The sequence below is a fragment of the Homo sapiens genome, chromosome 15 (genome assembly GCF_000001405.40).
Source record: "Homo sapiens chromosome 15, GRCh38.p14 Primary Assembly".
Classification (NCBI taxonomy): Eukaryota; Metazoa; Chordata; class Mammalia; order Primates; family Hominidae; genus Homo; species Homo sapiens.
Window position 1 is genome coordinate 42,679,287 of NC_000015.10, and position 26,766 is coordinate 42,706,052.

General features: G+C 46.6%; 1 protein-coding gene across 17 annotated transcripts in view; it reads left to right on the forward strand.

Annotated features, from left to right (window-relative positions):
* The window catches only part of STARD9 (StAR related lipid transfer domain containing 9), a 145,393-nt gene that overhangs the window by 103,681 nt on the left and 14,946 nt on the right, over positions 1-26,766 (forward strand). For 15 of the 17 annotated variants that reach the window (XM_011521831.4, NM_020759.3, XM_011521834.4 and 12 more), the window contains 6 exons: positions 2,136-2,326; positions 2,818-3,289; positions 4,830-15,056; positions 15,242-15,439; positions 15,854-16,037; positions 16,457-16,594. In XM_011521831.4, coding sequence (XP_011520133.1) covers positions 2,136-2,326; positions 2,818-3,289; positions 4,830-15,056; positions 15,242-15,439; positions 15,854-16,037; positions 16,457-16,594 — 11,410 coding nt within the window. Of the gene's footprint in view, positions 1-2,135; positions 2,327-2,817; positions 3,290-4,829; positions 15,057-15,173; positions 15,440-15,853; positions 16,038-16,456; positions 16,595-26,766 lie in introns of those variants that run through there. The other 2 variants (XM_047432903.1, XM_024450002.2) reach the window with 2 other exon arrangements.

Sequence of the window (26,766 nt, forward strand, 5' to 3'; positions counted from 1 at the left end):
TATTTGTTTGGCATTAACAGGTTTCTATTCCAGTTGCTATCCTGAGCCTCCACATAACAGAGAGTAACCTTCCTCTTTCTGTATGCTCCACTGTGTATATTTGGCCTTTTGCCCACAGCAATCAGTGCCAGTCTTTTGAGCACACTCACTCAAGTGTCTGGACCTGTCCTAGTCCTTGGACCTGTTGCAGATTGAATGACCTCATAGCCTTCTTCCCTGGGAAGAGACTGTGGTTGTGTCAGCTCCCACTCCCATTCCCCCGGGCTATTCCACCTATCACTCTTCACCCATCCATCTTTTACTATCCTCCAAAGGCTGCGTTATGAAATCTTAATTTCTTCCAAGGCAGGGGCGGCAAACATTTTCTGTAAAAGGCCAGATAGTATTTTAGGCTTTGTGGGCCATATGGTCTGTGCTGCAACTACTCAATTTTGCCAGGGTGGTGCAAAAGCAGCCCTAGACAGTACGTAAATAAATGGGTGTGGTTGTGTTCTAATAAAACTTTATTAATAAAAACAGGCAGCAGACCAGATTTGGACTCATAGGCTTTCATTCGTGGACCTCTTCTGTGATACCCGTGTGATTTCATTCTGCTCTACAAAGTGGTGGATCTCCTAAAAAGTGGTTCCCTTACAGCGTATGGGTCATACTGCCTGAGATATAGTTCCAGCATCAAACCAATAAGCTTCTCCAAGCTTCCAAGTCATGACATCCTGGGATTGTGGGGAAGGCTAGATAAAGCAGGCTTGATTCTAACTTTTTTGTTAGCCTCTGGCAGAATCTGACTCTTCCCAGCCACTCCCATTCTGTGCCCATCCTGGGGTGCCCATACAGTTGGCTCCTTTAAAAACCTAAATGACAGGGATGAAGATACCCTGCAGAAAAAGCATTTGAGGTCCTTACGTGACCCCCAGGGAAAGGTCAGCAAGTAGGTAGAAGCTGTCAGTTTTCAGAGTAAGCCTCTGAGTCATCTGTGGTCATATAGGAACCTGGTGGCAGAGTAAGGCATGACTAAAATCTAGAATTTTTTAGGTCGGGCGTGGTGGCTCATGCCTGTAGTCCTAGCACTTTGGGAGGCTGAGGTGGGGAGATCACTTGAGGTAAGGAGTTCGAGACCAGCCTGGCCAACATGGTAAAATCCTGTCTCTACTAAAAATACAAAAATTAGCTGGGCGTGGTGGCATATGTCTGTAATCCCAGCTACTTGGGAGGCTGAGGCAGGAGAATCGCTTGAACCCAGGAGGTGGAGGTTGCAGTCAGCCAAGATCATGCCACTGCACTCCAGTCTGGGTGACAGAGTGAGACCCTGTCTCAAAAAAAGAAAAAATCTAAATTTTTTTGTAAGCTTTTTATTATGGAAGACTTCAAATACAACACAAATTATCAACTTACGGCTAATCTTAGTTCATTTATATCCACACTCACTCTCCCTCATTCCCTCTCACTGGATCTAGACAAATTCTTGACATATTTCACCAGTAAATGCTTCAGTATATATCTTTGAAAGGTGTGGTAGAGTCTAAAACTCTTGAATCCTATTCCAGGGCTCATTCACTGAAAACAGCTCTGGAGTGGAGACCAGCTCTCCTTTGGGTCACACACACACAGGCGTGGTGTGTGTATAAATTATCAGCTGCCTTTTGCTACCAGATCACAGAGGATTTCTGTTTCAGGGAATGGAGGTGCAGTAACAATCTCTGAATATGTAGGAGAGAGTTTTATGCCCACAGTGTTTCTGGAGCTTCTGCTTTACTGAGTATTTCCAACATATTTTTAGCAGACACCTTTTTGTTCTTTTTAAAGGACCAAACTTCTGAATTTAGCTAAAATGTTTTTGTGTCTTTTTAAAAAGAACAACTTTCCTGGTGATTTTCCTTAACTAAAATGGATTTGTGTTTCTGCTAACCCCACAACTCTAAGACTATGCCAGTTTAATGACCATTCTCCCCTCCTGCACTGTGACATCGTAAGCTGCCTGTGACACCAGGCCTGTTTGTCCAAGGTTGCCAGAAGTCCAAAGCACTCTCTACCCTGTTGATTGCAGGGGCTCTCTTGGAAGGCCTTACACTGCTATCAGTTTGTCCTGAGCTTGGTTTGCATTTCCCCTTGGGTAACCTCAGCCGCTTCTGTGACAGGAGAGCGCTTGAAGAGCAATGTGACGAGGACCATCAGACACCGAGGGATGGAGAGACATCCCACAGGGCCCAGATTCAGCAGCAGCAGAGCTACGTAGAGGATTTGAGGCATCAAATCCTAGCAGAAGAGATTCGAGCTGCGAAGGAACTGGAATTTGACCAAGCTTGGATTAGCCAGCAGATTAAAGAAAGTAGGTGTCCACCACTTAATGTGTCTGCCTCACCTCCTTATTCTTTCATTTTCATGCTTCCTCAGCCTTCTGTATTCTCTCTTTTGTTTTCTTTGTGATATGATGGAATCTTTGGTATTAGGTGTTCTCTTTTCTTTTAGACACCAGAGATTCTTATAAGAAGAGGGCTGGAAGCAAGAATAAGGACGCTAATTTCCTTATTGTCCTCAGAATTACGGACCTCCTACTTACTGCTCCTCATTTGGTCATGTATCCATACCCTACCGCCTGCCCTAGCACGTGCCCACTGCTGTGCTGAGTCCTGAGGGTCTTCATTCCCTTACCTTGTGGTAAGGGAGCCCTGTAGCCCTGCAGCCCTCACCCTGCCACATCACCTTGGCCAGCTCTTTCACTCCACACAGGTCCAGCCATGGCTGGAGGTATCTGAGTCCAGGCAGCCACAAGCAGGGAAGGAGATGCTGAAATTCTCTCTGGGTGTTTTTGGTTCCCAGACCAGCAGTGTCTGCTCAGAGAAGAGACCTGGCTGGCCAGCTTGCAACAGCAGCAGCAAGAAGACCAGGTAGCAGAGAAAGAACTTGAGGCATCTGTGGCACTTGATGCTTGGCTTCAGACAGATCCTGAGATTCAGCCATCCCCATTTGTCCAAAGTCAGAAAAGGGTGGTGCACCTGCAGCTCCTGCGGAGACACACTCTTCGGGCAGCAGAGCGGAATGTCCGGCGGAAAAAGGTCTCATTCCAGCTAGAGAGAATCATCAAAAAGCAGAGGCTGCTGGAGGCCCAGAAGAGACTGGAGAAGCTCACGACATTGTGCTGGCTCCAGGATGACAGCACCCAGGAGCCCCCATACCAGGTCCTCAGCCCTGATGCCACAGTCCCACGGCCTCCATGTAGAAGCAAATTGACGAGTTGCAGTTCTTTGAGCCCCCAAAGACTCTGCAGCAAGCACATGCCCCAGCTACACAGGTACAGCCAGTAGTTGTCACTGGGAAGCACTCGGTTAAAGTTTACAACCTTCTTGCCCAGGTAGTTTTCTGTTTTTCCCCATGCCTCATTTCCTCAGTCTGTGAAATGGAAGAATGTGTATATTTCTCTCTTCCTCATGACTTTTTCCATCTTCTGGTTACTCTTCTTTCTGTGTATATCGTTTTAGATTCAGGCCTTTCCCATCTTCCTTACCCCCTGAGTAGCAATTCTTGCTTCTTTGGTAACATCTTAGGAGTAAGGATCTCGGCCTCACTTTTCGTCTGTTCCTTAGACCTGGGCTATCCATATACGTTTCCTTGTATGTCACACCTCAATCTTGTCATGCCTGTAACCAGACTTCTTGACTCCTACACCACCTCCCTCCCTCTCCCTCCTCGACCTGCCACATCAAGTGAGCTTTCTCACCCCACCTCCCACCTGGTGACTGAGCTATCTTTTTGACTCCCAGGTTCAAGTTGGGACCTTCCTTGTTTCTTTTCTCCATTACTTCTTACATGCCATCAAGGCAGGGCTGTATTATCTCCCAGACTCCTTGGAGCAAGGGTTTGTGTCTTATACCTCTTTGTATCCTCAGGACCTAGCACAGGTTCTTGTCCATAGGACGTTCACAATTAACGTCTGTTAGTGTTGTGTTTGCTCACCTCTCTGGTCTTCAAAGTACCAGGTGGGCTTTTTAAAAAAACTTTATTATGAAAAAATTTTAAACATATGCCAAGTTGGAAGAATAGTACATGTATCACTGATATTATTCAGCAATTATTAGGTTTTACACACTTGCCTACCTTCCCATTTTCTGAAGTTTTTTAAAGCAATTTCTAGACACCATGTCACTTTAGTTCTACATTTCTAAGTATATACTTCTAAAAAAAAATGGACTTTTCTTGTAACCACAATGTTATTGTGACAGCTACCAAAATTAAGATTATTTGATGTATTCTAAAACCTAGGCCATATTCAAATTTCTCTGCTGCCCAAAACTATTTACAGTTTTCTTTTTTCTCTCTCTTTTTTCTCTAACATGGTTCAGCATTGAAACCGTTGGTTTTTCAAATCAAGATCCAAGTAGGATTTACACACTGCATTTGTTTGTTGTTTCTCAGGTTTCTTTTAATCATTCTTCTTGTTTTATTTGTAATCATTATTTTTATTTCTTTTTATTGATAATTATAGTTCTGTAGAATATGTATCACTCTATAGATTTATCTTTTGGTTCCTCATAATACCATTTAAATTGTTCCTCTATTCCTCATATTGCCTATTAATAGGAAGCTTTCCCTACAAGTGTGATTAGCTTCAGTTCAGTTTTTTAACAAGATGAAGAAATTGAGGAACAGAGTGGGCCTGGAGCCTCTTGGAGAACTAGGACTAGAGTCCACAATTTCCTTTTATACCTGGAGAGCTTTTCTCTGGGTCTGAAGTCTATAGGAGACAGTGACACTGGCCTTGTTTTTAACCTCCTTCTGTCCACAGGAAGTAGTACCTCTCACATCTTCTGAGATAGCTTTCCTTGTCTTCACAGCATTTTCCTAAGTTGGGATCCCTCTACCACATTGCCACCTAGGCCTGACCCTACACACCAAACATCAGAGAAAACATCATCAGAAGAGCATTTGCCACAGGCTGCTTCCTACCCTGCAAGGACAGGGTGCCTCCGCAAGAACGGCCTGCATTCCTCAGGTCATGGGCAGCCCTGCACAGCCAGAGCAGCCTTGGCCAGGAAGGGAGCCTCAGCTCCAGACGCTTGCCTCACCATGAGTCCCAACTCTGTTGGCATCCAGGAAATGGAGATGGGGGTTAAGCAGCCCCATCAGATGGTGAGCCAGGGCTTAGCATCTCTGAGGAAATCAGCTAACAAACTAAAGCCAAGGCATGAGCCAAAGATCTTCACCTCTACTACCCAGACCAGAGGGGCGAAGGGACTAGCAGACCCTAGCCACACACAAGCTGGGTGGCGAAAAGAAGGGAACCTTGGGACCCACAAGGCTGCTAAGGGAGCCAGTTGCAATTCCTTGTATCCTCATGGACCCAGGCAGACTGCTGGGCACGGAAAGGCAGTCAAGACTTTTTGGACAGAATACAAACCACCTTCTCCAAGCAGGGCATCAAAAAGGCATCAGAGGGTTCTGGCAACTAGGGTCAGAAATATTACCAAAAAGTCCTCTCACTTGCCTCTTGGCAGTCCTTTGAAGAGACAACAAAATACAAGGGACCCAGACACCATGGTCCCACTCACAGATTTCAGCCCAGTAATGGATCATTCAAGAGAAAAAGACAATGATTTATCTGACACAGATAGCAACTACTCATTGGATTCTCTCTCATGTGTCTATGCCAAAGCCCTGATAGAGCCACTGAAGCCAGAGGAGAGGAAATGGGATTTCCCAGAGCCAGAGAACTCTGAAAGTGATGACAGCCAACTATCTGAGGACTCACTGGCTGAGAAGAGGTACCAAAGCCCCAAAAACAGGCTAGGGGGCAATCGTCCCACCAACAACCGTGGCCAACCCAGGACCAGAACTAGAGCTTCTGTGAGGGGCTTCACTGCAGCCTCAGACAGTGACCTACTTGCTCAAACTCATAGGAGCTTCTCCTTGGATAGCCTGATTGATGCAGAGGAAGAACTGGGGGAAGATCAGCAAGAAGAACCTTTCCCTGGTTCAGCTGACGAGATACCCACAGAGACTTTTTGGCACCTGGAGGACTCTAGTCTGCCTGTAATGGACCAAGAGGCAATATGCAGGCTTGGTCCCATCAACTACAGAACAGCAGCTAGGCTGGATGCCGTCCTGCCAATGAGCAGTTCGTTTTACCTTGATCCTCAGTTCCAACCCCATTGTGAGCTCCAACCCCATTGTGAGCTCCAACCCCATTGTGAGCTCCAGCCCCATTGTGAGCAGGCTGAATCACAGGTAGAGCCAAGCTACTCTGAACAAGCCGACTCTCTCCAAGGCATGCAGCTTTCAAGAGAGAGCCCACTGATGTCCATGGATTCCTGGTTTTCCTGTGACTCTAAGATCAACCCCAGCAGCCCCCCAGGAATAGTGGGTTCTTTATGTCCAAGTCCTGATATGCAGGAATTTCACTCCTGTAAGGGGGAGAGGCCTGGATACTGGCCAAATACTGAGGAACTAAAGCCATCAGATGCAGAAACGGTTCTGCCATATAGCTCCAAACTGCACCAAGGCAGTACTGAGCTCCTCTGCAGTGCAAGAGATGAGCACACAGCCTCTGCTGCTGATACGTCTAGGCTGTCTCTCTGGGGAATTCAAAGGCTTATTCAACCAGGAGCTGATGGCACCTTTCAGGGCAGATGTATCCCTGACATGACCCAGCAGGGCAGCTCTGAAGCATCCCACAATTCTAGCGTATCAAACGTGCTGGCTGCCTCTGCCACCACCTTGACTCATGTAGGCAGCACCCATGAAAGGGATTGGTCTGCCCTTCAGCAGAAGTACCTCCTTGAACTCTCTTGTCCTGTTTTGGAGGCCATAGGAGCACCCAAGCCAGCTTACCCCTACCTTGAGGAAGACTCTGGTTCCCTGGCCCAAGCTTCTAGCAAAGGAGGAGATACTCTATTGCCAGTTGGCCCTAGGGTATCTAGCAATCTGAATCTCAACAACTTTCCAGTCCATCTGTCCAGAATCAGGCGTTTGAGGGCAGAGAAAGAACAGGACAGTTTAAATGCCAAATTAGAAGGTGTTTCAGATTTCTTTAGCACTAGTGAGAAAGAGGCGAGTTATGACGAAACTTATTCGGCAGACTTAGAATCATTGTCTGCTTCTCGATCTACAAATGCACAGGTCTTTGCAACAGAGAACGCGATACCAGATTCCATGACAGAAGCATGTGAAGTCAAGCAGAACAACTTGGAAGAATGCCTTCAGAGTTGCAGGAAACCTGGACTGATGACTTCCTCTGATGAGGATTTTTTCCAGAAGAACGCTTGTCACAGTAATGTCACTACAGCCACCAAAGCAGACCATTGGTCCCAAGGCTGGGCTCCTCTCAGGAAAAATAGTGCAGTCCAGCCAGGGCAATTAAGTCCCGACAGCCACTACCCACTAGAGGAAGAGAAGACAGATTGCCAGGAGAGCTCTAAGGAAGCAGTTAGAAGACACATAAATGTTTCCTTTGCCCTTCCTTCAGGTCCAGAGCTATACCTTCACTCTGCTCCCTGGAATCCATTGTCATCTTCCCTGCAGCCCCCACTCTTGGAAACATTCTATGTGACCAAAAGCAGGGATGCCCTGACAGAAACTGCCTTAGAGATTCCAGCTTGCAGAGAAGTAAGGGTACCCTCCCCACCCCCCAGGGAAGCCTGGGGCTTTGGTCACAACCACCAAGCTCTCCAAGGTGCTTATTTGAAGAATAATTTGCCAGTGCTGTTACAAAACCAGAATTCTAAGATTGCCTCATCTCAGCAGGTCACAGCTGAGATACCAGTTGATCTGAATACCAGGGAAGTCATCAGAGAATCAGGTAAATGCCCTGGAAATATTACAGAAGAAAGCCATGATTCAGTTTATTCTTCTGTTACTCAGAACAGACATTTTCTCCCCTCTACCAGCACAAAAGTATGTGAATTTGAAAACCAAGTTGTAATTTTAAATAAAAAACACAGTTTTCCAGCACTTGAGGGAGGAGAGGTCACTGCTCAGTCCTGTTGCGGTGCTTCCTCAGACAGCACTGAGTCTGGGAAGTCTCTCCTCTTTCGTGAATCTGAGGCACGAGAGGAAGAAGAGCTGGATCAGAATACGGTTCTGAGGCAGACCATCAATGTAAGCCTTGAGAAAGACATGCCAGGGGAAAGTGCTGTTTCTTTGAAATCCAGATCAGTAGATCGTAGAGTAAGCAGCCCAGTGATGGTGGCCCAGGGTGGTGGCCCAACCCCTAAGTGGGAAGGGAAAAATGAAACTGGGCTTCTTGAAAAAGGTCTTCGTCCCAAAGATAGCTCAGAAGAGTTTAAGCTTCCAGGTACAAAGCCTGCATATGAAAGGTTCCAGTTAGTTGCATGCCCTCAGGAAAGAAACCCCAGTGAATGCAAGTCACAAGAAATGTTAAATCCCAACAGAGAACCTTCTGGAAAGAAACAGAATAAAAGAGTTAATAATACTGATGAAATGGCTAGGCTAATTAGGAGTGTAATGCAGCTGGAAAATGGCATCTTAGAAATTGAATCTAAGCAGAATAAGCAGGTTCATGCTTCCCACACACCAGGAACCGATAAGGAGTTGGTGTTCCAGGACCAGAAGGAGCAGGAGAAGACTGACCATGCCTTTAGGCCAGACAGCTCTGGAAACCCTTTGCCCTCTAAGGATCAGCCATCTTCTCCAAGACAGACAGATGATACTGTCTTTAGGGATAGTGAAGCTGGAGCGATGGAGGTTAACAGCATTGGGAACCATCCCCAGGTCCAGAAAATCACCCCAAACCCCTTCAGGTCAAGGGAAGGTGTACGAGAGAGTGAACCTGTGAGAGAGCACACCCACCCAGCTGGATCGGACAGACCTGCCAGGGATATTTGTGATTCTTTAGGGAAACACACAACTTGCAGAGAGTTCACCAACACTTCTCTTCACCCACAGAGAATGAAAGCATTGGCTAGAGCTCTGCCATTGCAACCCAGGCTAGAGAGGTCTTCTAAGAATAATGGCCAGTTTGTAAAAGCATCAGCAAGTCTCAAAGGGCAGCCTTGGGGCTTAGGAAGTCTTGAGGAATTGGAGACTGTGAAAGGTTTTCAGGAAAGCCAAGTAGCTGAACACGTAAGTAGTTCCAACCAAGAAGAGCCAAAAGCTCAAGGTAAAGTTGAAGAAATGCCTATGCAAAGGGGAGGCAGCCTTCAGGAAGAAAATAAAGTGACTCAGAAATTTCCTAGTCTCAGCCAGCTTTGTAGGGACACGTTTTTCAGGCAGGAAACTGTCAGCCCATTACTAAGCCGGACAGAATTCTGTACAGCTCCTCTTCACCAAGACCTGAGTAATACCTTGCCCTTGAATTCTCCAAGGTGGCCAAGAAGGTGTCTTCATGTACCTGTTGCTCTAGGCATCTCTTCACTTGACTGTGTGCTGGATCTCACAATGTTGAAAATTCATAACAGTCCCTTGGTAACTGGAGTAGAGCATCAGGACCAGAGTACGGAGACCAGAAGCCACAGCCCCGAAGGAAATGTTAGAGGGCGTTCCTCTGAGGCACACACTGCCTGGTGTGGGTCTGTGCGATCCATGGCCATGGGATCTCATAGTCAATCTGGTGTACCAGAGAGCATTCCTCTGGGGACAGAGGACAGGATCTCAGCAAGCACCAGCCCCCAAGACCATGGAAAGGACCTCAGAATCACCTTGCTGGGTTTCAGTACCAGTGAAGATTTTGCTTCTGAAGCCGAGGTGGCTGTACAAAAAGAAATAAGAGTCAGTTCACTGAACAAGGTCTCTAGCCAGCCTGAAAAGAGGGTCAGCTTCTCCTTGGAAGAGGATAGTGACCAAGCCAGCAAGCCAAGGCAGAAGGCAGAGAAGGAGACTGAGGACGTCGGACTGACCAGCGGTGTTTCCTTAGCACCTGTTTCCCTGCCGAGGGTGCCCAGTCCAGAGCCTAGGCTGTTGGAGCCCTCTGACCATGCATCCATGTGCCTGGCCATCTTGGAGGAGATCAGACAGGCAAAGGCCCAGAGAAAGCAGCTTCATGACTTTGTGGCCAGGGGCACAGTCCTTTCTTACTGTGAAACTTTACTAGAACCCGAATGTTCTTCAAGGGTTGCTGGCAGGCCTCAGTGTAAACAAATAGACCAGTCATCATCAGACCAGACCAGGAATGAGGGTGAAGCACCGGGATTTCATGTGGCATCTCTATCTGCTGAAGCAGGGCAGATAGATCTGTTACCTGATGAGAGGAAAGTCCAGGCCACATCTCTGTCTGCAGACAGCTTTGAATCTCTGCCCAATACGGAAACTGACAGAGAGCCATGGGATCCTGTGCAGGCTTTCTCCCATGCTGCTCCTGCTCAAGACAGGAAACGTCGTACTGGAGAACTGAGGCAGTTCGCGGGAGCAAGTGAACCATTTATATGTCACTCTAGTTCTTCTGAAATCATAGAGAAAAAGAAAGATGCAACCAGAACACCTTCCTCAGCTGATCCTTTGGCCCCAGACAGTCCTCGTTCTTCAGCACCTGTGGAGGAGGTCAGGAGGGTAGTATCAAAGAAGGTAGTGGCTGCCTTACCTTCTCAGGCCCCTTATGATGATCCTAGAGTGACTCTGCATGAGCTAAGTCAGTCAGTTCCGCAGGAGACTGCAGAGGGCATACCCCCTGGCAGTCAGGACAGCAGCCCAGAGCATCAGGAACCCAGAACTCTAGACACCACATATGGAGAAGTTTCAGATAATTTGTTAGTGACTGCACAGGGAGAAAAAACAGCCCATTTTGAAAGTCAGTCTGTGACCTGTGATGTTCAGAATTCTACAAGTGCCTCAGGGCCTAAGCAAGACCATGTCCAATGCCCTGAGGCTTCTACTGGCTTTGAAGAAGGTAGGGCAAGTCCCAAACAAGATACCATTCTGCCTGGAGCTCTGACAAGGGTTGCACTGGAAGCTCCCACACAGCAGTGTGTGCAGTGTAAGGAGAGTGTTGGGTCTGGGTTGACAGAAGTCTGCAGGGCTGGCAGCAAACATTCCAGGCCAATTCCACTGCCAGATCAAAGACCAAGCGCAAATCCTGGGGGAATTGGGGAGGAAGCCCCATGTAGACACCCAAGGGAAGCTTTAGATGGCCCTGTCTTCTCAAGGAACCCTGAAGGCAGCAGGACTCTCAGCCCGTCTAGAGGGAAAGAGAGCAGAACTCTTCCTTGCCGACAGCCATGCAGTTCTCAACCTGTTGCTACTCATGCTTATTCCTCCCATTCCTCTACTTTACTGTGTTTTAGAGATGGTGACCTAGGGAAGGAGCCTTTCAAGGCTGCCCCACATACTATCCACCCACCCTGTGTAGTACCTTCCAGGGCCTATGAAATGGATGAGACAGGAGAGATCTCTAGGGGACCTGATGTGCACTTGACACATGGCCTTGAGCCCAAAGATGTTAACAGGGAATTTAGGCTAACAGAGAGCAGCACTTGTGAGCCTTCTACTGTGGCTGCTGTCCTATCTCGAGCTCAAGGCTGCAGATCCCCTTCTGCTCCTGACGTGAGGACAGGTTCCTTCAGCCACTCAGCTACTGATGGAAGCGTGGGGTTAATAGGGGTTCCTGAGAAAAAGGTTGCTGAGAAGCAAGCAAGCACAGAACTTGAGGCTGCCTCTTTCCCTGCAGGCATGTACTCTGAGCCCCTGAGGCAGTTTAGGGACAGCTCTGTAGGTGACCAGAATGCACAGGTGTGTCAAACCAATCCAGAACCACCTGCAACAACTCAGGGACCACACACCCTGGATTTAAGTGAAGGGTCTGCTGAGAGCAAGTTGGTGGTAGAGCCACAGCATGAATGTTTAGAAAATACCACTAGATGTTTTTTGGAAAAGCCACAATTTTCCACTGAGTTGAGGGATCACAATCGCTTGGATTCCCAAGCCAAGTTTGTAGCAAGGTTAAAACATACCTGCAGCCCCCAGGAAGACAGTCCCTGGCAGGAAGAAGAGCAGCACAGAGACCAGGCTTCAGGTGGTGGAGAAGGCTTCGCCCAGGGTGTGAATCCCCTTCCTGATGAAGATGGCTTAGATGGCTGTCAGATTTTAGATGCTGGGAGAGAGGAGGTGGCTGTGGCCAAGCCTCCTGTGTCCAAGATTTTATCACAGGGCTTCAAAGACCCAGCCACTGTGTCCTTGAGGCAAAATGAAACACCGCAGCCTGCTGCTCAGAGGAGTGGCCACCTCTACACTGGCAGAGAGCAGCCAGCACCCAACCACAGGGGCTCACTTCCTGTGACTACAATCTTCTCTGGCCCCAAACACTCCAGGTCCTCCCCCACACCACAGTTCTCAGTTGTCGGCTCTTCTCGTTCTCTTCAGGAGCTGAACTTGAGTGTGGAGCCTCCTTCCCCTACAGACGAAGATACACAGGGGCCTAACAGATTGTGGAACCCACATCTCAGGGGCTATTCCTCAGGAAAGTCAGTGGCAAGAACATCTCTGCAGGCTGAGGACAGCAATCAGAAAGCCTCATCTCGCTTGGATGATGGGACTACCGATCACAGGCACCTGAAGCCTGCCACCCCTCCTTATCCAATGCCTTCCACTCTCTCACACATGCCAACCCCTGATTTCACGACCAGCTGGATGTCTGGTACTTTGGAACAAGCCCAACAGGGAAAGCGAGAGAAACTGGGTGTCCAGGTTAGGCCAGAAAATTGGTGCTCTCAGATGGACAAAGGAATGCTGCACTTTGGCTCCAGTGACATCAGTCCCTATGCGCTGCCGTGGCGTCCGGAGGAGCCTGCACGTATCAGCTGGAAGCAGTATATGTCTGGCAGTGCAGTCGATGTTTCCTGCAGCCAGAAGCCCCAGGGGCTGACACTATCAAATGTGGCCCGGTGCTCCAGCATGGACAATGGCCTAGAAGACCAGAACTCCCCTTTCCACTCCCACCTCAGCACTTACGCCAATATTTGTGATCTGTCAACCACACACAGCAGCACTGAGAATGCCCAGGGTTCAAATGAGGCCTGGGAAGTATTCCGAGGGAGTTCTTCAATTGCCTTAGGAGACCCCCACATCCCGACGAGCCCTGAAGGAGTAGCCCCCACTTCGGGTCATGACAGAAGGCCTCAGTTCAGGGGCCCTTCTGGTGAAGCAGACTGTCTGAGGAGTAAGCCCCCCTTGGCCAAAGGAAGTGCTGCAGGTCCAGTGGATGAGATTATGCTGCTGTATCCATCAGAGGCAGGCTGCCCTGTGGGACAGACCAGGACGAACACATTCGAACAGGGCACACAGACCCTCGGCAGCAGGCGCCACTGGAGCAGCACTGACATCTCCTTTGCTCAGCCTGAAGCCAGTGCAGTATCAGCCTTTGATCTGGCCTCATGGACCAGCATGCACAATCTGTCTCTCCACCTCTCACAGCTCCTGCACAGTACCTCAGAGCTGCTTGGGAGTCTCTCCCAGCCAGATGTGGCCAGAAGGGAGCAGAACACCAAGAGGGACATCCCAGATAAAGCCCCACAGGCCCTGATGATGGATGGCTCTACTCAGACCACTGTGGATGAGGGCAGCCAGACTGACCTCACCTTACCCACCCTGTGCCTCCAGACTTCAGAGGCTGAACCTCAGGGAGCCAATGTGATCCTTGAAGGGCTAGGCTCAGATACCTCGACTGTGTCTCAAGAAGAGGGAGATGTGCCAGGGGTACCTCAGAAGAGAGAGGCAGAGGAAACAGCACAGAAAATGGCTCAGCTCCTCTATCTTCAGGAAGAAAGCACTCCCTACAAGCCCCAGAGCCCTTCAATACCCTCATCCCACTTGAGGTTTCAGAAAGCCCCCGTTGGGCAGCATCTTCCTTCTGTGAGCCCCTCAGTTTCTGATGCTTTCCTGCCTCCCAGCTCCCAGCCAGAGGAGTCATATTGCTTAGTTGTCAGCAGTCCCAGTCCCAGCTCCCCTCATTCCCCAGGGCTCTTTCCCAGTACTTCCGAGTATCCTGGGGACTCCAGGGTCCAGAAGAAGCTGGGCCCCACAAGTGCTTTGTTCGTGGACAGGGCCTCCTCCCCAATCCTCACTCTTAGTGCCAGCACCCAAGAGCCGGGTCTTTCCCCAGGCTCTTTGACCCTCTCAGCCCCTTCAACTCACCCTGTTGAAGGCCACCAGAAGCTTGACTCCAGCCCAGACCCTGTTGATGCCCCAAGGACTCCAATGGATAATTATTCCCAAACCACTGACGAGTTAGGTGGCTCCCAGAGAGGTAGAAGTTCCTTACAAAGGAGTAATGGGAGATCCTTCCTTGAGTTGCACTCCCCACACAGCCCACAGCAGAGTCCAAAACTCCAATTTAGTTTCTTAGGGCAGCACCCTCAGCAGCTTCAGCCCAGGACAACTATCGGGGTCCAAAGCAGACTGCTGCCACCACCACTGAGGCACAGGAGCCAAAGGCTGGGCAACAGCTTTGTGCCTGAGAAGGTGGCTTCCCCGGAGCATTGCCCACTGAGCGGTAGGGAGCCAAGTCAGTGGCAGAGCAGGACAGAAAATGGAGGTGAGAGTTCAGCATCTCCAGGGGAACCACAACGCACTCTGGACCGACCTTCTTCATGGGGAGGCCTCCAGCACCTCAGCCCCTGCCCTGTCTCTGAGTTGACTGATACTGCAGGGCTCCGAGGTTCTGCCTTGGGCCTCCCTCAGGCCTGCCAACCTGAGGAGTTACTGTGCTTCAGTTGCCAGATGTGCATGGCCCCTGAGCACCAGCACCACAGTCTGAGGGACCTCCCGGTGCATAACAAATTTAGTAACTGGTGTGGGGTTCAGAAGGGCTCACCTGGGGGGTTGGACATGACTGAGGAGGAGCTGGGGGCCAGCGGTGATCTCAGCTCTGAAAAGCAGGAACAGAGTCCCCCACAACCTCCTAATGACCACAGCCAGGATTCTGAGTGGTCCAAGAGGGAGCAGATCCCCCTGCAAGTTGGGGCCCAGAACCTCTCACTCAGCGTGGAACTCACAGAAGCGAAACTGCACCATGGCTTTGGGGAGGCCGATGCCCTGCTCCAGGTGCTGCAGAGTGGGACAGGGGAGGCGCTTGCTGCTGATGAACCTGTGACATCCACCTGGAAGGAGCTCTATGCACGGTAAGGACCCCCAGCCTGGAGTCGGGAGGGGAAGGGGTGGGCTGTGAGGAAAGAGAACCCAAGAAAGCTAATAGCTTGCTGTTTCCTCTGCCCTGGTTCATCTCTGGGATCTTCCAGGGGTCAGAGATAGATCTTAAAGTGAAGGACATTCAGGGCCAGCTTCAGCGAATCGTGTTTTGCCTCAGGCAAAAAAAGGCCATTGAGACCCTCAGGAGAGAGCGGGCTGAGCGACTTGGGAACTTCTGCCGGACGCGAAGCCTTAGCCCTCAGAAACAACTGAGCCTCCTGCCCAACAAAGATCTCTTCATCTGGGATCTTGACTTGCCCAGCAGACGCCGAGAATACCTGCAGCAACTGAGGAAGGATGTTGTGGAGACCACCAGGTAGTGTGGACCGAGAACCCTGCTGGGAGCAGGCTCTGTTGGGGGAGGGGAGTATGGGGAGCAGGAGCTGAAGTTTTAGCATCCTGGAGGGTTCTCTATAGGAGACAGGGTAAATGGAAAGAGGACATAGAAGGGAATGGAATGAGGGAGGGGGTGGGCAGAGAGAAGGCACAGGAAATGATGGACAGAAGGGCTCTGACATGCTATGCAAGTCTGCAGGCCTGGGTCTCAAGGTGGCTTGGTTCTCTCTGTCCAGCAACCTCTCCTGAGGCTAAAAAATCATACTTTAAAACCCTGTGGGCAAATGGAGGTTGGGTCTTTTAAGAAGGTGGTATCACCCAAGCTAGCCTTGGATGGACAGACCAGGACTGTCACCCACCCACCATGTTCTTTCCACCCCGTGATCTTCCTCAGGAGCCCAGAGTCAGTGTCAAGGTCAGCTCACACACCCTCTGACATAGAGTTGATGCTGCAAGACTACCAGCAGGCCCATGAGGAGGCCAAGGTGGAGATTGCCCGGGCCCGAGACCAACTGCGGGAGCGGACTGAACAAGAGAAGCTGAGAATCCACCAGAAGATCATTTCCCAGCTATTGAAGGTGTGGAGTGGGGCATGCCTCTGATTTCAGGATAGGCCTGGACCTCAGACTGGTACACCTTCACCGTGGCCGCCTCTGAGTCTTGGGACATACGTAACATTTGGAGGAGGCTGTGGGACCCCTGTTGTCAACTCAAAGCTGGGCTCACTGTCTTTTTACATCATCACACCAGCTCCTTTCCCCAGGCCACGGCCTGGGAGGAAGAGGCTTTGGTGTGAGGTGCAGGGTGTGGGGAAATACGAGCAGTGGTGGCTTTAAGGAAGCCAGGGCATGTGAGGCTAAGTCAGGGAGGCCCTGGGAGGTGGGTGAAGGAGCAGTAGAGGTGAGCAGGGAAGGGGTGGCTTTGGGTAGGAAAAGGCGTGGCCTGGGGAAAGTGAGGGTGCATCAGAAGCTGGTTAATGGTGATTTGTCCTTCCCAGGAAGAGGATAAACTACATACCTTGGCCAATTCCAGCTCCCTGTGCACCAGCTCTAATGGAAGCCTCTCGTCTGGCATGACCTCTGGCTATAATAGCAGCCCAGCCTTGTCAGGCCAGCTCCAGTTCCCAGAGAATATGGTGAGTAGGCAGATGTTGGGAATGAGCCAGGGGCCTGGACTGCCAAGGCAAGAGTTTGAGCAGGACGCTGTGCCTCCTGGAGTTTGGGCAAGACGCCGTGCCTCCTGGAGGCCACTGCTGACATGAGCCCTTCTTATGTGCAGGCCTTTGGTTTTCCATTTAGTTCTGCCCCCTGCTCCTTCTGTTCATTCATTCAACAAATGTTTATTCTGTGGGTATTATTTTAGGATACAGCGGTGAGCAAAACTGTTCTTGTCCTTAGACTGTTTGAGGGATAAATATTAAACAACTGATTTTATTGTTTAGTTATTGTTGCAGTAAATTGTTTGAAGGCGGGTTGCTAAACCAGCATAAAACCAGGGGTCTGACTTAGTCTAGAAGGTCATAGAGATACTCCGAACAGAATGTGTTTAAACTGAGACTAAAAGGATAAGAGGTAGTTAATGCAGTAAAAGCTTATTGGTGCTGTTATTGGGAGAGATGTGGGCCTAGCAAGTGAGGCCTTGAGGAAGAAGAGTTTGAGGAACTCAATGAAGGTTAGTGTGGTTGGAATGTAAAGAGCGAGATGGGAAAATGACATGAGAAGGGACTAGAAAATCATGTGGACTATAATGAGAGTTCTGGCCCCTTTCTAATCCATCTCATTGTGTTACTTCCCAAAAGTGAAAAGGCTGCTGAAAGTAATAGAAAACTTTTAAGTAGGGGAGTAGAATGACTGGATAGTAAGAAAAGGAGGCAGGAGCAGCTGTGGGAGACCTCCTAGATGACCACGGCAGAGCTGAGAGAGATGATTGCTTGCTTCAGGGCACTGCTAGTGAAGACGAACAGAGGAGGATGTAATGGAGAGAGAGATCTGCAGGACTTGGTGACTGGTTGGGTGTTAGAGGAAGGAAGAGCGGGGAGTTGAGAAGAGCACACACTTGACTTGAGCAGCTGAAAGGCGGTCATGTGAACAATGACAAGGAACACTGGAGGGAGAACCAGGTTTTGTGTGGGAGATGATGAGTTCAGGTTTGTACTTACTGAGTTGAAGGTGCCTGTGAGAAATCCAGATAGAGCAGTTGGAAATATAGAGCTCATAAGTAAGATCTGGCTGGGGATGAATATTTGAAATTCATTTTACAAATACAACGTCATTTAACAAAATAATGTTTAAACAGTAGCAAAAGACATACAATGTCAGGCACATGTTTGAGTCTCCTATTTGCTTTCCCCAGAAGCAGTCATTTACCCCAGTTTGTTGTATATTTCCAGGGATGATGTATATACATCTTTTTGTAAAGCAGATGAATGGGAGTATACTGTACTCACTTTCTCACTTTGCTTTTTCTTTTAAAAATATCTTTGGGATATCATTGCATATCAGTAAATCTAGTGCTGACTTCTTTTAATTAGTTATTTTAAGAGCCAGGATTTTGCCATGTTGCCCAGGTTAGTCTCAAACTCCTGGGCTCAAGCTATCTTCCCACCTCAGCCTCCTAAAACGCTGGGATTACAGGTGTTAGCTACCATGCCTGGCCTTCTTTTTAACAGCTGAATAGTGTTTCTTTTTTTCTCTTTTATTGCATGTTTTTAAGTTTGATGTTTTATATAGATAATATATTCATATAGTAGAAAGGGCACAAATATATACACATACAGGTTGAGCATCCCTAATCCAAATATCAGAAATTCAAAATACTCCAAAGTCTAAAACGTTTTGAGCACTGTGACACCGGAAGTGGAAAATTCTACACCTGACCTCATGTGACACATTGAGTTGAAACACAGTCAAAACTTGGTTTCATGCACAAAATTATTTAAAACACTATATGAAATTACCTTCAGGCCGTGTGTATAAGGTATATATCCAACATAAATTTTGTATTTTGACATGGATCCTATCCCATCATATCTCCTTATGCATATGCAAATTCTCCAAAATCCGAAAAAATTCACAATCCAAAACACTTCTGGTCCCACACATTTTGGAGAAGGGGTACTCAACCTGTAAAAGGGATACAGGGAAATACCCATCCCCGCCCTCAGTGTACCTAGTTCCTCTCCCTCACCCGACCCAAGGAAAGCAGTGTTGTTTCTTGGAAGGTATCCTCCTAGGGGTCTTTATGCATACAAAATAAAGCATATTATGCCACTGTCCTATACCTTATATATTTTTTTCACTCAGTATAATTTGTAACTCTATTTGAATATGCAGAGAACTTTCTCATTTTGTTCATTGCTGCATAGCATTCCATTGTAGAGTTGCACCGTCATTTACCCAGTATTCTAACTTGGGTTGCTTTCAGACTTTTGCTGTTATCAGCAATACTACAGTGAATAACTTTATTCATGTATCATTTTGTACATAGGCAAATATATTTGTGGGATAAATTCCCAGAAGGGCACTTGTACAAAGAGTATATACATTTAAATTTTTGATAGGTACTATTTTCTCTCACAGATGAGCTAATTTATACTCCCACCAATAATAGCTGAGAGTTTACCTTTTCCCACACTCTCACCAACATGTTATCAAATGTTTAGATTTTGTGTTGAAAATTGTATCTCATTTTTCTCATATGCTTGAATATTTGTATTTTGTTTTTCATGAGCCATCTGTTCATATCCTTTGCTCTTTTCTCTTTTTCTCTTACCAATTTGGAGAGTTCTTTATATTTTAGTAAGAATAGCCGTTTGACTGATACGAACTAGAAATATTTTTTTCCCAGTGCTTCCTTCTCTTTTGACTTTGCTTATTTTGTTTGAGGCCATGCAAGCAGATATATTTGTCCGTTTTCCTTTTATGGTATCTAGGTTATAAATAATAACTAGAAACACATTCTTCAATCCACAATTATAAAGAATTTCTTCCATGGTTTCTTCTAGAACTTCTGTGGTTTTATTTTTCATATTTAAATCTTTGTTCCTTTTGGAGTCATTTTCATATGAGGTATGGATCCGATTGTGTTCTTTCCAGATGGCTATCTAGTTGTCCCTGTAATGCTTGTTAGACAGTTTATCTTTGCCTCACCAGTTTAAGGGGTCCCCTTTCCTTATACCAAGGCTTAGAATAGATTCTACCCTGCGGTAGTGTTAGTCCACCACTACCCTCATTGCTCTTCTCTTTCTGAGTTTACCAGAGTATTCTTTCTTGTTTATTAAAAAAAATTGTCTTATTTTATTATAATTGACACATAATGTAAATATTTATGAGGTACACTGTGATGTTTCAATCCACATATGCATTGCATAATGATCAAATCAGGCAATTAGCACATCCATCACTTTAAACATTTATCATTTCTTTGTGGTGATAACATAAAACCCTTTCTAGCCAACTTGAAATATACATTATATTGTTATTAGCTATAGTCACCCTATTGTGTAATAGAACACCAGAACTTATTCTTCCTTTCTAACTTTGTACCTGTTGACCATCCACTCCCCATTCCCTCTTCCTGATCCCCTCCCCAGCCTCTGGTAACCACTATTCTGCTTTCTTCTTCTATGAGATCAACTTTTTTCTTTTCTTTTTTTTTTTTTTTTTTTTGAGATGGAGTCTTGCTCTGTCGCCAGGCTGGAGTGCAGTGGCTCAATCTCGGCTCACTGCAAGCTCCGCCTCCCGGGTTCACGCCATTCTCCTGCCTCAGCCTCCTGAGTAGCTGGGACTACAGGTGCCCGCCACCACGCCCAGCTAATTTTTTGTGTTTTTAGTAGAGATGGGGTTTCACCATGTTAGCCAGGATGGTCTCGATTTCCTGACCTCGTGATCTGCCCGCCTTGGCCTCCCAAAATGCTGGGATTACAGACGTGAGCCACCGTGCCTGGCTAACTTTTTTATTTTCATTATTTATTTATTTTTGAGGCAGAATCTCACTCTGTTGCCCAAGCTGGAGTGCAATGGTGCAAACTTGGCTCACTGCAACCTCCGTCTCCCGGGTTCAAGCGATTCTCATGCCTCAGCTTCCCAAGTAGCTAGAATTACAAGCGCCCACCACCACACCCAACTAATTTTTGTATTTTTAGGAGAGACGGGTTTTCACCATGTTAGCTAGGCTGGTCTCAAACTCCCGACCTCAGGTGATCCACCTGCCTCGGCCTCTCAAAGCGTTGGGGTTACAGGCGTGTGAGATCAACTTTTTTAGATTCCGCATATGAGTAAGATCACGTGGTGGTTGGCTGTCTATGCCTGGTGTCTTCCACTTAGTATAATGTCCCTGGGTTCACCCATGTTGCCACAAATGACAGAATTTTATTCTGTTTTATGGCTGAATAGTATTCCATTGTGTATATATGCCACATTTTCTTTGCCCATTCATCTGTAAACATTTAGGTTGATTTCATCTCTTGGTTATTGTGAGTAGTGCTGCAATAAATATGGGAGTGTAGATATCTCTTTGACATACTGATTTCATTTTCACTGGCTATATACCTAGTGGTGGAATTGCTGGATCATATGGTAGTTCTGCTTTAGTTTTTTGAGAAACCTTCATACTGTTTGCCATAATGGCGGTATTAATTTACATTTCTACCAGCAGTGTATAAGAGTTCCCCTTTGTCGACATCCTTACCAGCATTTGTTGTTTTTTGTCTTTTTATTATAGTCATTTAGATGGAGCGAAGTGATATTTCATTGTAGTTTTGATTTGGATTTCCCTAAAAACTAGTGATGTTGAGCATTTTTTTCATATACCTGTTGGCCATTTGAATGTCTTTTTTTGAGAAATGTGAAATCAGGTTTTTGCCCATTTTAAAGTTGAATTCTTTGGGATTTTTTGCTATTATTTGAATTCCTTATGTATTCTGGATATTAACCTTTGTCATATGCATAGTTTGCAAATCCATTCTCCCATTCTGTGGGGTGTCTCTTCACTCTTTTTTCCTTAGCTGTGCAGAATCTTTTTAGTTCGATGTAACCTCATTTGTCTATTTTTGCTTTTGTTACTTGTGCTCTTGAGGTCTTGTCCAAAAATTCCTTTCCCAGTCCAATGTCATAAAGCATTTCTCCTATGTTGTCTTCTTGTAGTTTCATATTTTCTGGTGTAAGATTTAAGTTTTTGATCCTTTTTGTATATGGTAAGAGATAGGGGTCTAGTTTCTTGCTTCTGTATGTGGATATCCAGTTTTCTCAGCATCATTTATCACAGAGATTGTGCTTTCTCCCTTGTGTGTTCTTAGTGTGTTTGTCAAAAATCAGTTGGCTATGAATGTGTGGATTTCTGTGTTCTTTGTTCTGTTCCTTTAGTCTGTGTGTCAGTTTTTATGCCAGTACCATGCTGTTTTGATTACTATAGCTTGGTAGTATTTTTTGAAGTCAGGTACTGTGATGCCTCCAGCTTTGTTTTGCTCAGAATTTCTTTGGCTGTTTGGGGTCTTTTGTGGGTCCATATGAATTTTAGGATTATTTTTTCTATGAAGAATGTTATTCGTATTTTGATAGAGCTTGCATTGAATCTGTAGATTGCTTTGGGTGATATGGACATTTTAACAATATTCTTCCAATCCATGAACATGGGATATATTTCCACTGATTCATGTCATCTTTAATTTCTTTCATCCGTGTTTTACGGTTTTCGTTGTAGAGATCTTTCACCTCTTTGGTTAAATTTATTCCTAGGGACTTTATTTTTTTGTAGCTATTGTAAATGGGATTGTGTTCTTGCTTTCCTTTTCAGATAGTTTGCTTTTGGTCTATAGAAACACTACTGATTTTTGTATGTTGATTGATAAATAAAAGTAAAATTCTAAGCCTCCAACTGACTGAACAGACCTCCTCTCAGCCAGGGAGACCCCAGAGAAACCTTAAAAGTTGAGTGCATGACCAACAGAAGATGTTGAAATAAATGCCCTGGCCAGGCACGGTGGCTCACGCCTGTAATCCCAGCACTTTGGGAGGCTGAGGCAGGCTGATCACAAAGTCAGGAGTTCGAGACCAGCCTGGCCAACATAGTGAAACCCCATCTCTACTAAAAATACAAAAAATTAGCCAGGCGTGGCAGCATGCACCTGTAATCCTAGCTTCCTGGGAGGCTGAGGCAGGAGAATTGCTTGAACCCGGGAGGGTGGAGGTTGCAGTGACCCGAGATCATCATTGCACTCCAGTGCAGGTGACAGTGTGAGACTCTGACTCAAAAAAAAAAAAAAAAAAAAAAAAGCTGAATGCATGACCATGACCTGATGGGAGGTTGGACACACCTGCTTATATCCCCTTCCTCGCTAACAGATATTAGGCATTCTTCCCTAAGGGCTAAACAGAAACCAGCCCTTTCAGCAGACTCCACACTGATAATGTCAGTTACTAGTTTATCTTCCCAGTTATAGAACAAAGACGATTAAAATTTTTTGTTTGTTTGTTTTTTTAGTCAGAGTCTTGCTCTGTCGCCCAAGCTGGAGTGCAGTGGCACAATCTCAGTTCACTGCAACCTCTGCCTCCCGGGTTCAAATGATTCTCCTGCCTCAGCCTCCTGAGCAGCTGGGATTACAGGCGCGCACCACCATGCCTGGCTAATTTTTGTATTTTTAGTAGAGACGGGGTTTCGCTATGTTGGCCAGGCTGGTCTCCAACTCCTGACCTCATGATCTGCCCACCTCGGCCTCCCAAAGTATTGGGATTACAGGCATGAGCCACCGCGCCCGGCCTGTTGTTATTATTTTTAATAGTTTTGTCTTTTATTCTTCATAGCAAAGATAGGAGTTGTCTATCTATCACAGTTATAATATTAGAGTTTTCTAAATTTGTCTGTGTACTTAGTTTTACCAGTGAGTTTTATACCTTCAGATGTTTGCTTGTTACACATTAGCATCCTTTTCTTTCAGATTGAAGAAGTGCCTTTAGCAGTTGTTATATAAGACAGGTCTGGTGTTGATGAATTTCCCCAATTTTCATTTGTCTGGGAAAGTCTTTCCTCTCTTCTTCATGTCTGAAGGATAGTTTTACTGGATGAAGTATTCTTGGTTGATGTTTTTTTCCTTCAGCACTTTGACTGTCATCCCACTCCCTCCTAGCCTGTAAGGTTTTTGCCGAGAAGTCTGCTGCCAGACCTATTGGAGCTCCTTTACTTGTTATTTGCTTGTTTTCTTTTTTAAAAATTACAGTTTAATTTAAGTGTTTTGTAGAAATGGGAGTCTCACTATGTTGCCCAGGCTGGTCTTGAACTTCTGGCCTCAAGCAATCCTCCTACCATAGTCTCCTAAAGTGTTGGGATTACAAGCATAAGCCACCACACCTAGCCTATTTGCTTCTCTTCTCTTGCTGGTTTAATGACCTTTTCTTTGTCCTTGACCTTTGAGAATTTGATTATTATATGCCGTGGAGTAGTCTTATTTCATTAAATTTAATTGGGAACTTTTTACCTTTCCATACCTCAATATTTATATCTTTCTCTAGGTTTGGAAAGTTCCCTGTTATTATTGCTTTGAATAAACTTTCTACTCCCCTCCGTTCTCATTCTGCACTCCCTCTTGAATGCCAGTGACTCGTACATTTGTTTTTTTTGTTTTGTTTGTTTTTTTTTTTTTTAGATGGAGTCTTGCACTGTTCACCCAGGCTGGAGTGCAGTGGCACAATCCCTGCCCACTGCAGCCTCCGCCTCCAGGGTTCAAGCAATTCTCCTGCCTCAGCCTCCCAAGTAGCTGAGATTATAGGCGCCAGCCACCATGCCTGGCTGATTTTTTTTTTTTTTTTGTATTTTTAGTAGAGACAGGGTTTCACCATGTTGGTCACGCTGGTCTTGAACTCCTGACCTCATGATCCACCCACCTCGGCCTCCCAAAATACTAGGATTACAGGCGTGGGCCACCGCGCCTGGCCACATTTGTTCTTTTGACACTATCACACAGATTCTTTAAGCTTTCTTTTGTTCTTTTTCATTCTTTTTTTCTTTCCTCCTCTGTATTTTCAAATATCCTGTCTTTGAGCTCACAGATTTATTCTTCTGCTTTATAATTTCTGCTGTCAAGACAGCATTTTAATGCATTTTTGTTTGTTCAGTGTATTTCACCTCCAGGATTTCTGTTTGATTTTTAAAAGATTATTATTATTATTTACTTATTTATTTATTTTGAGATGGAGTTTCACTCTTGTTGCCCAGGCTGGAGTGCAGTGGCGTGATCTTGGCTCACGGCAACCTCCGCCTCCCGGGTTCAAGCGATTCTCCTGCCTCAGCCTCCCGAGTAGCTGGGATTACAGGCACCTGACACAGCGCCCGGCTAATTTTTTTTGTATTTTTAGTAGAGATGGGGTTTTACCATGTTGGTCAGGCTGGTCTCGAACTCCTGACCTCAGGTGATCTGCCTGCCTCGGCCTCCCAAAGTGCTGGGATTACAGGCATGAGCTACCACGCCTGGCCAAGATTATTTTAATCTCTTTGTAAAGTTTCTCTCATAGATTTCTGAATTATTTCTCTGTGTTTTCTTGAAGTTTATTGGGCTACCTCAAAACAACTATTTTGAATTCCCTGTCTTAGATTATACTTCTCAATCTCTTCAGGATGGATCACTGGCACCTTATTTAGTTGGTTTGGTGAGGTCATAGTTCCCTTAATGTTCTTGATGCTTTCCAATGTGTGTCAATATCTGGGCATTGAAGAAATTGATATATATTCCAATTTTTGCAATCTGGCCTTGTTTGTACCTGTCTTTCAGAGAGCCTTCCAGGAATTCAAAGGAGCCTGACTGTTGAGTTCCCTAAGCCTGTGGTCACTGTAGCCATCTTAGCGCTAGAGGGCACTGTAAGCCTATGTAGCTGGGACTCTGTTACAGACTCCAATGTCCCTGGCCCCGATGGACCTGAGTAAGACCCAGGGAGAGTTCCCCACCTCGTGTGGTAATGCTGGCCAGGGCCCTGAACCAGGTGCTGGTTTTGTTGTTGTGGGCTTGGTACTGGGTTCCAAGGAAAAGTTTCATGCATAATTCGGTCTCCTTCCCTAAAGTAGATGGTGTCTTTCTCTGTACCATGTTGCCTACAGTTGGAGGGAAAGGTGATGTGGGCAGTCCTGTGGCTGCCACAGCTGATGCTATGCAGGGCTACACCTGAAGCCTATGGCCTCTTGGACCAGGGTGGAAATGGGTCATGCCCAAGGCCCAGGCTGCTACCATGCTGAAATTTATTTGGGGCCCAGTGATGTGAGAATCCCATTCATCCTGATGGGGTGGGGAATTCCTTTCTGGTGCTTAGTGTGGGTCCACAATCTTTGTCCGTGGGCACAGGCCTGGAATTAGGCTGTGGGGTTTTTTCTGGTTCTGTGTATTACTGTGGCAGACTTAGTACTGGGCTCTAAGGCAAAGTCCCATGTCCACTAACCTCTCCTTCTGCCATGTGGGCGGTGTCTCTCATCACTACCTAGGGTTGGGGAAGGGTTGGTACAGATAATATGAGACTGTCCTTCCTATTATCTTTAATGCATCTTCTTCTCCTTGTAAAATCTAGTACTTTTATCTATCAACTGGTTTTCCTAGCTCTAGCGAAGATATTTTCTTTTGTGGATTGTTGTTCAAATTGATGTTTCTGTGGGGAACTATCACTGACGGGTCCTATTCTGCCATCTTGTTGTGCCTCTGTGTTACTGATCTGTTGTTTGTTTATTTTTTTGAGATGGAGTCTTGCTCTGTCACTCAGACTGGAGTGCTGTGGCGCCATCTTGACTCACTGCAACCTCCGCCTCCCAGGTTCAAGCGATTCTTCCTGGCTCAGCACTCCGAGTACCTGGGACTACAGGCATGCATCACCCTCCATGCCTGGCTAATTTTTCTTGTATTTTTAATAGAGATGGGGTTTTCAGTGTTGGCTAGGCTGGTCTCAAACTCTTGACCTCAGGTGATTTGCCCACCTCAGCTGAACAAAGTGCTGGGATTACAGGCATGAGCTACTGCACCCAGCCTGTTGTTTGTTTGTTTATTTTTTATTTTTTGAGATGGAGTCTCACTCTCTCACTCGGGCTGGAGTGCAGGGGCGTGATCTCAGCTTACTGCAACCTCCACCTCCTGGGTTCAAGCGATTCTCTTGTCTCAGCCTGCTGAGTAGCTGGGATTACAGGCGCCTGCCCCCACGCCTGGCTAATTTTTGTGTTTTTAGTAGAGATGGGGTTTCACCATGTTGGCCAGGCTTTTCTCAAACTCCTAACCTCGAGTGATCTGCCTACCTCAGCCTCCCAAAGTGCTGGGATTACAGGCGTGAGCCACCGCACCCGTCC